Below are 14,453 nucleotides of genomic sequence, written 5' to 3'. Positions count from 1 at the left end.
TTCGGCATGTTGCCCAGGCTGGTCTTGAAATCCTGGCCTCAAGTGATCCACCCACCTCAGCCTCCCAAAGTGCTGGGATTACAGGCGTCAGCCACTGTGCCCGGCCTCCTTAAACATCAACTTTTAACCCAGAGAGAATTTTGGTTGGCCTCATCCCCAGCAACCCAAAAAAAGATAAATTAATGAAACACTAACTTCTCTTTAGCTCAGTCACTGGCCATCTTAGTGTAAGGTGAAACCGTTACTTATTAGTACTGACTATTTTTCTTCTATCAGGTCATGGGTGCAAATAGTCACCCAAAATGTATTATGTATACCCTCCTGTTCAAGACAAAATCAGATCCTCTAGTTAAGAGTCTCCTCTCTTAGCTTTATTCTCTGATACGATTTTCTTACTGTGTAACCTTGAAGAAGCCACTTAACTTCTCTGCATCTGTTTTTTCACCTACCAAAACATGATGTGATGATATACTGTACACCTTGAAGGTTTTGGTTTTTTTTTTAGAATCCAAGAAAACAAAATATGTAAAAATTGCCTTGTGTACTGAAAATACTGTACAAATTAAACAGTTGCTATTCATTTGAAAGATCTGACCACTGGAAAATATGGCCACTATTTACACAAAAAGAAATGAAGACAGAAGGATCCAGTAGAACTGAGACACAGACATAGAATCCACCCACATAGGAAGAGCAGATGTTTTCTTCGAGGAGCCACGATTCTAATTTTCAGCTTAGGAAACTAACTCCCTTCTTCCTGCCTTAGTTTACACCAAGAAGCACAGCTATAGTACTTATGGATGTTCTCAGAAGTCACCCAGCTGGGTCAGACCTGGAGGACCTGGGAAGCATCGAGAAGAGGAAGGGGGAAGGACTTGTTTGCAAGAAACCAGACTGGAACACAGAAGAAGGGGTCACAAAAATACCGATTAGAAAACAAACAAACAAAAAACTAAAAAAACCCCAGCATTAATAAATGGTCTCCTTTGGGAGACCGAGGCAGGCGGATCACAAAGTCAGGAGTTCGAGACCAGCCTGGTCAACATGGTGAAACTCCGTCTCTACTAAAAAATATAAGAATTAGCCAGGCGTGGTGGCGTGTGCCTGTAGTCCCAGCTACTTGAGAGGCTGAGGCAAGAGAATTGCTTGAACCTGGGAGGCGGAGGTTGCAGTGAGCCGAGATTGCACCACTGCACTCCAGCCTGGGCAACAGAACAAGACTCCGTCTCAATAAATAAATAAATAAATAAATAAATATTCTCTCGGTTCGGCAATCTAGATTCCCAAATCACCAACTGCACACCCAGCGCTTAAATCCCCTCTACAAGCGCCTGGGCCAGCAACTGCCCAGACGACTAGGAAAACTTCAGGGATGGTGAGTTTACTGCCTCCCAGTGCCTATCCACATTTGGAAATTCTTCTACATCCCAATGAAGAGTTAACAGCTTTCTAGCTCTCTATTCTGAGTAACAAAAAGTCAAATCCCTTTTCCATATGGGAAGACCTCAGCTATTTTTAAATACCTGTTGTGGGTCATAGTTCAACTCCCTACATATTCCATCTCAAAGTCTTTTCGTCTTCAAACTAGAATATTTCCAGTTACCTCACTTTTATAGTCATTCCTCATAGATGGACAGTTTTGAAAGGTTTTGCCAGTTTGAATGCCACCATTCTCTGGACACACTCTGATTGGTTTAAATCCCTTGTTGAATGTTGCACCCAGAAGGGGCTGTTGGGTCAGAGACGGACATGAGGCAGGCACTTACCTCTGAGTATCTGTATAAAGAACAGCCCCTCAGCCGTCTATGTACCTGCCCAAATTTCAAAGTTTCCCTACCAATCAGATACAGGAAAGGGGTTTAGATAACCAATTTTGGGTGATTTGATTATAGGAAGAGATAGCAATAAATCATTAGTGAACCCTTTTGGTGTTCAGGCCAGACTCTTCCAGGACATTTCTACCTGCTTGGAGAGATAGAGAAGGGACTGAGTTGTGAGGGTGAACTCAGGTAGTGCAGGGCTTTCCAAGAGCCACAGAGTCTGAGTAGCCTGTGGGCCTCCAGCCTCAAAGAACTTCCTTAATGTTGGAATACGGCCAGCTTTAAAGCTATCAAGAGTGGGAAGAGTCCTGTGTCTTATTTTACGGACTTGAAAGACTACACAGTGCTTCCTCAGTGCCTGGACTGCCAAATGGCCATGACTACAGGTGAGAACACAGTGGCAGCCGCGGCAGGGGCCACCCTGCCTAGTGGAATCACCTTCAAAAGGAGAGCTGGGCATATGTGCCAAACTGTAAAATCTGCGGACCTTGTGACCCACAATCCCACTTTAGAAACTGATCCTGAGATAATTGGACGCAGTTGCCAAGATGTTCATATATGGGCAACAATCTTATAGTGTTGTTTAAAATAGGGAAAACTGGAAACTATCTGCAAGTTCATCCAGAGGGGTCTATTTATCCTAGAGGGGCCTGTTATGTTAGTATCATACAATGAAATGCCATACAATTACAAGCACTGCTATAGATATATATATATATATATATATATATATATATATATATATGTGTATATATATATATATATATATATTTTTTTTTTTTTTTTTTTTTTTTGAGACAGAGTTTTGCTCTTGTCGCCCAGGCTGGAGTGCAATAGTGCAATCTTGGCTCACTGCAACCTCCGCCTCCCAGGTTCAAGTGATTCTCCTGCCTCAGCCTCCCAAGTAGCTGGGATTACAGGCGCCCGCCACCTCACCCAGATAATTTTTGTATTTTTAGCAGAGACAGGGTTTCATCACATTGGCCAAGCTGGTCTTGAACTCCTGACCTCAGGTGATCCACCTGCCTTGGCCTTCCAAAGTGCTGGGATTACAGGCGTGAGCCACTGTGCCCGGCTGAACTATAGTTACTTAGCTAGAAAGACTTCCATGACATGATGCTGTGTGAATAAAGCATGTTAATATATACAGTACTTAGTACAACTGCCTATTTTTTGTATAGAGACATATCTAGAAGGATAGTAACCAAATAAAAATGGCTGTCTCAGCAGCATAATATTTATTTTTGTTTTCAACATATATTTATTTAAGTTACAAAGTAACATAGGCTTATTATAAGAGAGTCAAACAACAAAGAAATGTATAAAGTAAAACATGAAAATCTCTTTTCCCATCAGTCCCATTTCTCAGCTATTAACATTTGCTGTTAACATCTGATATGCAGTCTTTAAGACTTTCTTTTCAGCATGTATAATCAAAGTCATACTTTTTTTTTTTTTTAAGTAAAAATGAAACTCCACTCTACCCATTGTTCTGCGACAAGGTTTCTTTATGTTTTCAGTGTTGCCTGGATTTTTTTAATGTCCTTTTTGTAATTAGGGAAAACAATAATGTTATATTTGTTTGGGGGAATAAAAGTGTACCAGCCAAGGACAGAAGACAATGAATGTGTGATGTGAGTGGCCCAGTAAAGAGAAGCAAAGGACAAGGTTTTCCTGTGTTCAGATCACCACGGTACTCAATACAGGAGGACCTAGACATGCCCGGTTGGCCCAGGAGGTTGATAGTGTCCTGTTCTTCCTAAATCTTCAAAGCCAAACATAGGCTGCTGGAGCTAGGCCTGGGGCTAGGGGATATTGGGCTATAGCCTCTCCCAGAGATGTGTTCCCTGCCCAGCACAGTGCCCCAGGTATGCAGCTTCCACTGGGCCAAGCAGGACAAGGCAGAGAAGGACCCCCACTGCTGTTTCAGAGTCTACCTGCTGCATGCCAGCAAAACAACAATCCACTGCCTGGGTGTGCTGCAATCCCTCTTTAAAAGCACCCGAATTCCCTCCCTTTTCTCTTCCTCCCCTGGCTCAAGCTCCAACTGTCATCTGTCCAGAGAGAGGGCTCTGTGAGGAGTCAGAAATGCTGCTTGAACCTCATCAGAACCCTCGAGGGAGGGCCATTCTGTTCTCTTGGTCCTTGAGTCCTGGGAAGAACCTAAACAACAAGCTTGTCCTCATGTCTGCCCTGCAAGGCAAGAAGACAGGCCTGGCGGTGGAGACCCACTCCCAGGGAATCTCAAGCAGTACTGTGTATGGCTTACGGGTGCCAGTCATTTTCCACTGAGAGAGCTATGAAGAAACTGAGTAAGAAAGCCACTGCCCTGGCCTTTTTTTTTCTTGACAGGTTTTGGATGGGGCGCAGTGGCTCACGCCTGTAATCCCAGCACTTTGGGAGGCCGAGGCAGGCGGATCACGAGGTCAGGAGATCGAGACCCTCCTGGCTAACACAGTGAAACCCCGTCTCTAATAAAAATACAAAAAATTAGCAGGGCATGGTGGTGGGCACCTGTAATTCCAGCTACTAGGGAGGCTGAGGCAGGAGAATGGCATGAACCCGGGAGGCAGAGGTTGCAGTGAGCCGAGATTGTGTCACTGCACTCCAGCCTGAGCAACACAGCGAGACTCTGTCTCAAAAAAAAAAAAAAAAAAAAAAAGAGCCTGTTTCCTTTTCTTTTGCAATGTGCTTCTTAAACAACAACATAAACTTTTTTTTTTTTTGAGATGGAGTCGCTCTGTCACCCAGGCTGGAGTGCAGTGGCACAATCTCGGCTCACTGCAACCTCCGCCTTCCGGGTTCAAGTGATTCTCCTGCCTCAGCCTCCTGAGTAGCTGGGACTATACAGGTGCCCACCACCATGCCCGGCTAATTTCTGTACTTTTTTTTTTTTTTTTTTTTGAGACAGAGTCTCACATTATTGCCTGGGCTGGAGTGCAATGGCATAATCTCGGCTCACTGCAACCTCCGCCTCCCAAGTTCAGGCGATTCTCCTGCCTCAGCCTCCCAAGTAGCTGGGATTACAGGCGCCCGCCACCACGCCTGGTTTATTTTTTGTATTTTTTAGTAGAGACGGGGTTTCACTATGTTGGCCAGGCTGGTCTAGAACTCCTGACCCTGTGAGCCGCCCCCTTGGCCTCCCAAAGTGCTGGGATTATAGGCGTGAGCTACCGCGCCTGACCTAATTTTTGTACTTTTAATAGAGACGTGGTTTCACCATGTTGGCCCCGCTGGTCTCGAATTCCTGACCTCAGGTGATCCACCCATCTCAGCCTCCCAAAGTAATGGGGTTACAGGCGTGAGACACTGCACCCAGCCATAAATAATATTGATTGTTTCTATGTATAATGCTAGGGTCTGCATTAGGAACACTACCTATATTATGAAGTAGATATTACTATTACCTGTGTTTCACAGATGAAGTAACCAACTGTTAGAGATGTTCAATTTTGGTCCTACATGGCCCAACTAGGATTTGAACCCAGGCAACCTGCCATTTGGATTCCTGCTCTCAGCCATGTTCTTTTCCAGCCCTCTTCGCTGAACACTCTATCATGAGCAGTTTCCAGTCATCAAAGTGCTTTACCTCCTGCAGAGATGCTAGTTCTACTGTCCTAACTCTCCAGCGGCAATCTCTGCTTGCCAGTGGGCTTCACTGCCCTCTGCAGAAAGCATCCCTGAATTGCAAGTGCTAGAGACAAAAGGGCCACATTCCGCTGAAAGAGCCAACCAATTAAAACTCCACAGGGGTCCAGAGATGAGAGACCTTGTCCGAGGGTGAATTATCCTAGCTGAATGCCTGTATCAAATAAATGCTTTCGGCCAGGCGTGGTGGCTCACGCTTGTAATCCCAGCACTTTGGGAGGCCGAGGCGGGTAGATCACGAGGTCAGGAGATAGAGACCATCCTGGCTAACAAGGTGAAACCCCATCTCTACTAAAAATACAAAAAAAATTAGCCGTGCGTGGTGGCGGGCACCTGTAGTCCCAGCTACTCGGGAGGCTAAGGCAGGAGAATGCCGTGAACCTGGAAGGCGGAGCTTGCAGTGAGCCGAGATCGCGCCACTGCACTCCAGCCTGGGCGACAGAGCGAGACTCCGTCTCAAAAACAATAAATAGACTCTTTCTACTAAGAGTTTCAAGTCATTTAATGTAGTTCTCCAATGTAGGATACAGACCTATAGAAGCTAAAGGAACTTGCTAAAGAAAATCCTTCAGCAACACAGCAGGAGATGCATACCCCCCAACCCCAACAAACTCTAGGTACTGTAATTGATTCCTCTACCACAGGCCACAGAGCACAGGACCCAGCTAAGGCAACTCATTTCTCGGGACCTCTGAAATCTCACAGAGATGGCTACCTCTCCACCTGAGTTGTTATTCAGAAGTGGAAAACATTCTCTAAGTCAGTTGTCGGCCGACTTTTGCAGTGAACGGCCAGAGATAAAATATTTCAGGCTTTGAGGGCCATATCATTCTTGTTACAACTAGTCAACTCCACTGCTGTGGCACAAAAGAAGCCCAGGTAATCCATGATGGGTATGGCTATGTTCCAATATAATTTTACTTATAAAAACAGGTGATTATCAGGATTTGGCCTGCAGGCTGTACTTGCCAACCTCTGCTCTCAGGGTTTAAGTTTTCCCTAAAAATACCCAGATTTATATATTGGCTAAATCACTTAAATTTTAGGGCACAAACTCATTTCTGAGGGACTGACCTGTTTTTCTTCAGTGCAGTAGGAACACAATCTTTCAACTATTAATCTAAAATCTTAGGAAAGTGCAGAGAAATCAAGAGTTGTTTTGTCTTACAGTTGGTCAGTATTACTAACTGATAAAAGTGAAAATATTTCACAGATCCACAGCAACCAGAAAAGAGGATGAATCAGGTTGAGGCAAAGAAAATGTCAGGAAAATTAAAAAGAGTGTGAGGGAGAAAAATGATATGAATATAACCAGGCAGCTCCATTTGGCTTTAGTTAGCTGACTGGGGCAATAGGCAGCTTAGCGAAACCAGGAAACGAGAGCTTGAGGTTGGGTGCGACGGCTCATGCTTGTAACCCCAGTACTTTGGGAGGCCAAGGCGGGTGGATCACTTGACCCCAAGAGTTGGAGACCAGCGTGGCCAACATGGCGAAACCTCATCTCTACTAAAAATACAAAAATTAGCCGGGTGTGGTGGTGCACGCCTGTAATCCCAGCTACTCAGGAATCTGAGGCATGAGAACAGTATGAACCTAGGAGGTGGAGGCTGCAGTAAGCCGAGATCACACCACTGCACTCCAGCTTGGGTGACAGAGTGAGACTCTGTCTCCAAAAAAGAGAGATACAGCTTGACAGCTCTCATTGGTAATGATGGAGCACCTCTTTCCAGAAAGCTTTACCTGAGGAAAAGATATTAAGACCACATACATTTGGGACATGAGAGAAGAAAGCCAGGTGAGCTGTAGATGAGAAGCTGCCTGCAGCCTAGTAACATCTTACCTGGGGACGTACTCTGAACTCCTCACTCAACCTTCCTGACTTCCTTTACTCACCTGCAGGGCAGGGAAGAGGAGGCAAAGCCTGATCTCCCTCTTGGATCTGAGAAGACAGCCCTGTGGTGTGCTGCTGAGCACAGCAATGCTGAGGCTGCTAACACCCCCAAGATAAGAGGGTCCCCTTCTTAGGCTGGAGAGCCTCAGGATAGAGCAGGCTTGAGACAGGATTCTGCTGAGTTCAAGACCCCAGGGACTGGAATGGCAGAGCTGAGAAGTATCCATGACCCTGAGGGCTGCGCTCCAACTGCTGCAGCAGCCCCTGTCCCTTCTGCGTAAGAGCCACTCTCAAAATGCAGCTAGAGTCTCAAATACTTCAAATCCAAGTACATCTTAATTTAACAACAAAAAAAAAAGGACTTCACTCCCCAAACTGGCCATTTCACCTTCCTCCTTAACATGCTTTCATTTTCTTTTCTTTTTTTGTTTTTTGAGGCAGGGTCTTGCTCTGTTGCCTAGGCTGGAGTGCAGTGGCATGATCCTGGCTCACTGCAGTGGCATGATCCTGGCTCACTGCAGCCTCAACCTCCCGGACTCAATCTATCCTCCCCACTCAACCTCCCAAGTATCTGGGAGTACACGTATAAGCCACCACACCCAGCCCTTAACATGCTTTCGTAGCTTTCCATTACCCTTAGAATCAAGACTCTATTGAGGCAAATGCACCATGACTTGCCTCAAGCCCAGCACTTTCCTATTCTTGCCAGGCCTCCAGCTTTTCCTGAGCCCTCGCCTCTCCCTCACCTCCCTCCAGCTACATAAGCCTTCTTTCAGTTCCTCACCTTTCCCTTTTAGTGATCTTATGGAATCAAATATTTATTTGCTTATTTTTTCAATGTCTGTCTCTACTAGCTAACGGCAGTGGAAAGTTTGTTCCACACAGCTTACCTAGCATTTGACAGAGCCTCTGGTATGTCGCAGGCACTTAAATAAAATAAATATAACTGATGAAAAAGCTCCTTTTCCCCAAGTCCTCTCTCTTCATCTAAAATGGACCCTTGGCGGCTGAGAGGCTGGAGCACGCAGAGCAGGCTGGTTAGACTGTCCCTGGAGGCTTGCTCTTGCCACTCAGCAGCTATAGGAAGTTCTCCAGGGCCCATCACCTCCCTATCGCCTCATCTGAAAAGGGGCAATATGAACCAGTATCTTCCTCACCACGCTACCCACCGCACAGGTTAAATAAGAGAAGGTAAGTACCTATGATATTGGTGCTCAATATCTACTGTTTTGTTTTTTTGAGACGGAGTCTCACTCTGTCGCCCAGGCTAGAGTGCAATGGCACGATCTCAGCTCACTGCAACCTCCGCCTCCTAGGTTCAAGCAATTCTCATGCCTCAGCCTCCTGAGTAGCTGGGATTACAGATATGCACCATCATTCTCAGCTAATTTTTGTATTTTCAGTAGAGATGAGGTTTCACCATGTTGTCCAGCCTGGTCTTGAACTCCTGGCCTCAAGTGATCCAACTGCTTCAGCCTCCCAAAGTGCTGGGATTACAGGTGTGAGCCACCACAGCCAGCCAATACCTACTGTTTTATTTACTTACTTTTAACTATAGAAAAGCAAGTTTTGTTGTTGCTGTTGTTGTTGTTGTTGTTGTTGTTTTTGAGACAGAGTCTCGCTCTGTTGCCCAGGCTAGACTGTAGCGGCGCGATCTCGGCTCACTGCAACCTCTGCCTCCCAGGTTCAAGCAATTCTCCTGCCTCAGCCTCCCGATAGCTGGGACTACAGGTGCGTGCCACCACACCCAGCTAAATTTTTATATTTTTAGTAGAGACGTGGTTCCACCATGTTGGCCAGGATGATCTCAACCTCTTGACCTCGTGATCCACCCACCTGGGCCTCCCAAAGTGCTGGGATTACAGGCGTGAGCCACCGCACCTGGCATAGAAAAGCAAGTTTTAAAAAAGGGCCTCAACAGGAAAAGACTGAATCACATCTGTTAACTTTTGGGAAGGCAAGAGGAGGCAAACCCCAAGAAAACTCTACAATGCATTGAGGTTCCTTATGTAAAACATGACTTGCTGTCAATATCTGGAAAAGTCTCTCTGACTTACAGAGGCAGGCTGTGTCCCTCAGCACTTCCAACTTCAGAGACAGGAAGCATGATGGATGGATTCCTGGAACTCTAAACTGTGCAACACACTGTATAAGGTTTGCTAGCCAGGCGCAGTGGGTCATGCCTATAATCCCTCCACTTTGGGAGGCCAACATGGGCAGATCACTTGAGCCCAGGAGTTCAAGACCAGCCTGGGCAACATGGCGAAATCCTGTCTCCACAAAAAATTTAAAAATTAGCCGGGTGTGGTGGCATGCACCTGTAGTCCCAGCTACTTGGGAGGCTGAGATAAGAGGATCAACTGAGCTCGGGAGGTCAAAGCTGCAGTGAGCCATAATCGTACCACTGGACTCCGGTCTGAGCAACAGAGTGAGATCCCATCTCAAAAAAAAAAAAAAAAAAAGCTTGCTGGTCTTTCCTAACCCTAAATGCATGCCACATAGTGTGTATGAACCAATCTCTCTGGCCAAGGAACCTAAGAAGGGGGACCTATTCTCAAGGACTCAGTAAAGTATTTTGTTGCTATAAAAACACTAGGCTCGGTGCAGTGGCTCACATCTGTAATCCCAGCTACTCAGGAGGCTGAGGCAGGAGAATCACTTGAGCCTGGGAGGTGGAGCTTGCAGTGAGCCAAGATCATACCACTGCACTCCAGCCTGGGTGACAGAGCGAGACTCTGTCTCAAACAAAACACACAAACAAAAACAACCACTTTTATATAATGATCCTTCTATTGTTTGTTGAAAATAACGATAACATTTACTGGATGGCCCCAATAGTATTATTTTAATAACATATTAATTTATCTAATTCCTCCTCACTTTAAAAATCCTTTAGCAATGGTTATTAACATGTAAAGGTTAATTTCTCCACACCTGGCTAAGTGATCCCATTTAAAGGAATTTATCCTGAAGAAATACTCCGGTAAGGCTGGGTGCAGTTGCTTATGCCTGTAATCCCAGCACTTTGGGAGGCCAAGGCGGGCGGATCACCTGAGGTCAGGAGTTCGAGATCAGCCTGGGCAACACGGTGAAACCCCGTCTCTACTAAAAATACAAAATTAGCCGGGTGTGGTGGCACATGCCTATAATCCCAGCTACTCGGGAGGCTGAGGCAGGAAAATCGCTGGGAGGAGAACCTGGGAGGCGGAGGATGCGGTGAGCCGAGATCGCGCCATTGCACTCCAGCCTGGGCAACAAGAGTAAATCTCCATCTCATCAAAAAAAAAAAGAAATACTTCGGTAAGAATACAAAGATGTACATATACGAGGACGCTCACTGCAGCTTTGTGAAAGGAAAAAATTAGAAATGACCCAAATGTCTAACAATAGAAGACTGGTTAAATAAAGTACAGTATATGTAGGTATTAAAAAAGTGTCGCGTTAAAAAGAACATCCTGACAGATGTCCAAATGATAGTAAGTTAAAAAAGCAAGGTGAAAAACAGTATGAAAAGCATAGTCCATTTTTACAAAATACTGCAAGTTCTTTTTTTTTGAGACTGAGTCTTGCTCTATCACCCATGCTGGAGTGCAGTGGCGTGCTCCCAGCTCACTGCAACCTCCGCCTCCCAGGTTCAAGCAATTCTCGTGCCTCAGCCTCCCAAGTAGCTGGGACTACAGGCATGTACCACCACACCTGGCTAATTTTTGTATTTTTTTTTTAGCAGAGATGGGGTTTCATCATGTTGGCCAGGCTGGTCTCAAACTCCTGACCTCAAGTGATCCACCCATCTCAGCCTCCCAAAGTGCTGGGATTACAGGTGTGAGCCACTGCGCCTGGTCAAAATACTGCAAATTCTATCCAGACATACGCATGGCAAACAAAACCTGGAAAGAGGAACACCAAAGTTTTCTCTGTGAGGGAATGAATTATGAAGGACTTTCACCTTCTGTGTCAGATTTTAAATTTCTAAGTTTCAATTTTATAATGAGCAAGTATTTCTTTTGTAAACAGGGGAAAGGGAAGAAAATGTGAAAACAAAAAAAAATCTCTGTTAGCATTAGAGTCTGTCAGTACCACAGGGTTGGATCAGCCATGAGCTCTGATGGCCTGGGAGAGATCCCTACTCATGCAGTGCCATCCCAGCACTCAGAAATCGAGCCACTCACAAATCGAGCCAACTGAGCACATGTCATGAGGTTGCCATTAAACAGCAGCAAGTGAAGGCACTTCAATTTCCAGTGTCAGTTACAAGGTTGGGGAGATACGTTTTTCCTAAAAACGCAAATGAAATTGCCTTGGAATTTGTGGTTAAAGCCTACCAATGGCAGAACTGAGAGCAGATAGCCTCTCCAGCAGAATTCTAAAGCACAGTTCAGAAATCAAGCCCTGTTGAGTTGGGGAATGGTTTCTTTCTAATGAAACCCAGAGGATGGGGGGCAGGGGAAGAGTAACTGGCAATCTGAAAAGAATAAACTGATCGTAAAATGAAAGGGGAACAGGGAAGTAAGAAAAACTGGCTGCAAAGTAGGACAGACAGACATGGATGTGTCTACTGGTGAAGTTACTGATACATTTATTGCAAAACTTTCCAAACGACTCATGCCACAGGCTAGATTTGTTTGTAAATCTGCCATAGCAGGTGAAATGACAGCCATCCTGTCCTCGTGACTGGAACATTCTCTTCCCAGGCCCAGTGTCCTGATCAATAGGCAAGGTTCCTCTGATCCCAGGCAGGGCTGGGGCTTCTTAGGTGGGGAGTGTTTTGCCCACACGATGGGCATTCCCCTCCTTACTAACAGAACCCCAATTTTGGTTTTCTGCCTTTTCCTGGCCATTCCCTTCTGCGAGCCAGGCCCATTCCCAGCCAATATCATCCTTGACCTAACTCTAGCCAATGAGATGCAAAGGGGACACCAATGAGGGCGGTTCTGTGGAGGTTTTGGTTCATCTTTAAAGGACATAGGACAGAAATGTCTCTCTTACTGCCTGTAGACTCTGTCAAGGGTGATCAGGACGCTAGGATCATGGCAGCCATCTCTGGAATATGAGGAAACCAATTTAAAAAGACAAGCCAAGTGCTAAGGAAGGCAGAGAAGTTAAGAACAACTCAGGTCCTTGAGAACATCGCTGAACAGATGGCAGCCAACCCTGGAATTGCCCCTCCTCCAGATGGCTTGCCATGTAAGGTAAGTGCCCTTATTGTTAGGCCACTCTGGTCAGGGTGTTCTATTACTTGTAGTCAAAACCATCCCAACACATACAAGACAGAACAGAAAGTGCCCGCTCCATCGACATCTCCTCTAATAATCTGACTTCCAAGTGTTAACTGTACACCATGATTACTGAGGTAAGACATGTCCCTCCAGTCCCGTGGCAGCAACTGATTTTGCCTATGCAAAGCCGTGCTATTCTTCTGCTGGTGGTTAGCCTTTGCTTTAGAGGACTTCCCTCCTATTCCATGTGCTTGGAAGTGATGAGCAGAGGGAAGACTTTCAACGTAAATCCTGGTGGTCCATCTGGACCACTGCCACCAACCAAGGTGGTCACATGGCCAGACAGAACTAATCTGTGTCCTACCCCAGAACTGATGTAGAAATGTCCAAAGTTTAAAGCCTTGGCTGGGCGCAGTGGCTCGCATGTGTAGTCCTAGCACTTTGGGTGGCCAAAGTGGGTAGAGCACTTGAGCCCAGGAGTTCAAGACTAAAACCTGGGCAACAGCGAGACCCTGTCTCTACAAAAAGTTTAAAAATTAGCTGAGGGTGGTGGTGTGCACCTGTAGTCGTAGCTACTCAGGAGGCTGAAATGGGAAGATCACTTGAGCCCAGAAATTTGAGGCTGCAGTGAACTAAAAAGGTGCTATGGTACTCTAGCCTCTAGTCTGGGTGACAAAGCAAGAACCCTGTCTCAAAAATCAATTAAAAAACAGGCCAGGTGTTGGGGCTTGTGCCTGTAATCCCAACACTTTGGGAGGCCATGGCGGGTGGATCACCTGAAGTCAGGAGTTCGAGACCAGCCTGGCCAACATGGTGAAACCCTGTATCTCTACTAAAAATACAAAAGTTAGCCAGGCATGTTGGTGCATGCCTATGGTCCCAGCTACTCGGGAGGCTGAGGAAGGAGAACTGCTTGAACTCAGGAGGCGGAGGTGCAGTGAGCTGGAATTGTGTCACTGCACTCCAGCTTGGGCAACAGAACAAGACTCCGTCTCAAAAAAAAAAAAATCAGTAAAAAACAAACAAAACACCGAAGTTAAAAGCACAAAGCCCTGTGCCTGCTGGGACTACAAACTGAGAGAAACTGAAACTAGGAATGATGGTGCTCATCTCCCCAGTGGTGGCACATGGGGAGAGTCTGCAGAACAAGATCAACATACAGAGAGTCATAGCTATAGTCATAGCCCAGAGGACCCCATTTGAACATACAGATCAAGCCACACCTGAAACCCTTGTTGTCCCAGTCACCTGAGCCAATGAAGTCTGTTATTGTTTTTCTTTGTTTTTTGTTTTTGAGACAGGGTCTTGCTCTGCTGTCCAGGGTGGAGTGTCCAGTTGTGTGATCATGGCTCACTGCAGCCTCGACCTCCCTGGCTCAAGGCAGCCTCGACCTCCCTGGCTCAAGTAATCCTCCTACCTCAGCCTCCTGAATAGCTGGGACTACAGATGCATGCCACCATGCCTAGCTAATTTTTTCAATCTTTTCACTCTACCCCTGTGGGGTTTCACCATGTTGCCCAGGCTGGTCTCAAACTCCTGGGCTCAAGCAATCTGCCCGCCTCACTGCCTCAGCCTCCCAAAGTATTGGGATTACAGATGTGAGCCACCACGCCTGGCCCTGTTATTGTTTAAGGTAGTTTCAGTTGGGTTTCTGCCATTTTCTTTTTCTTTTTTTTTTTTTTTAGAGGCAGGGTCTTGCTCTATCACCCAGGCTGAGTGCAGTGGCATGATCACAGCTAACTGTAGCCTTGACCTCCTGGGCTCAAACTCAGCCTCCCAAGTAGCTGAGACCACAAGTGCATACCACCACATCAAGCTAATTTCTTTTTTTTTGAGAGGGAGTCTCGCTCTATTGCTCAGACTGGAGTGCAGTAGTGC

The 14,453-nt window shown here is 46.0% G+C and overlaps 1 protein-coding gene across 12 annotated transcripts in view, besides 1 other annotated feature; it reads right to left on the bottom strand.

Moving 5' to 3' along the window:
* Positions 1-14,453, bottom strand: part of SUFU (SUFU negative regulator of hedgehog signaling) — a 130,717-nt gene that overhangs the window by 62,047 nt on the left and 54,217 nt on the right. The gene's annotated exons all lie outside the window — the stretch shown is intronic.
* Positions 5,112-5,811: an enhancer, noted in NCBI's record as "OCT4-NANOG hESC enhancer chr10:104325435-104326134 (GRCh37/hg19 assembly coordinates)". NCBI's record gives its function as "activates a minimal SCP1, AML or CMV promoter by ChIP-STARR-seq in naive H9 embryonic stem cells {active_cell/tissue: H9 hESC(naive)}" and the evidence as "EXISTENCE:reporter gene assay evidence [ECO:0000049][PMID:30033119]".

Source organism: Homo sapiens, chromosome 10 (genome assembly GCF_000001405.40).
Source record: "Homo sapiens chromosome 10, GRCh38.p14 Primary Assembly".
In the NCBI taxonomy this organism is placed as follows: domain Eukaryota; kingdom Metazoa; phylum Chordata; class Mammalia; order Primates; family Hominidae; genus Homo; species Homo sapiens.
Note: the sequence above shows the minus strand (reverse complement) of the source record. Positions and strands in the feature narration are given on the sequence as shown.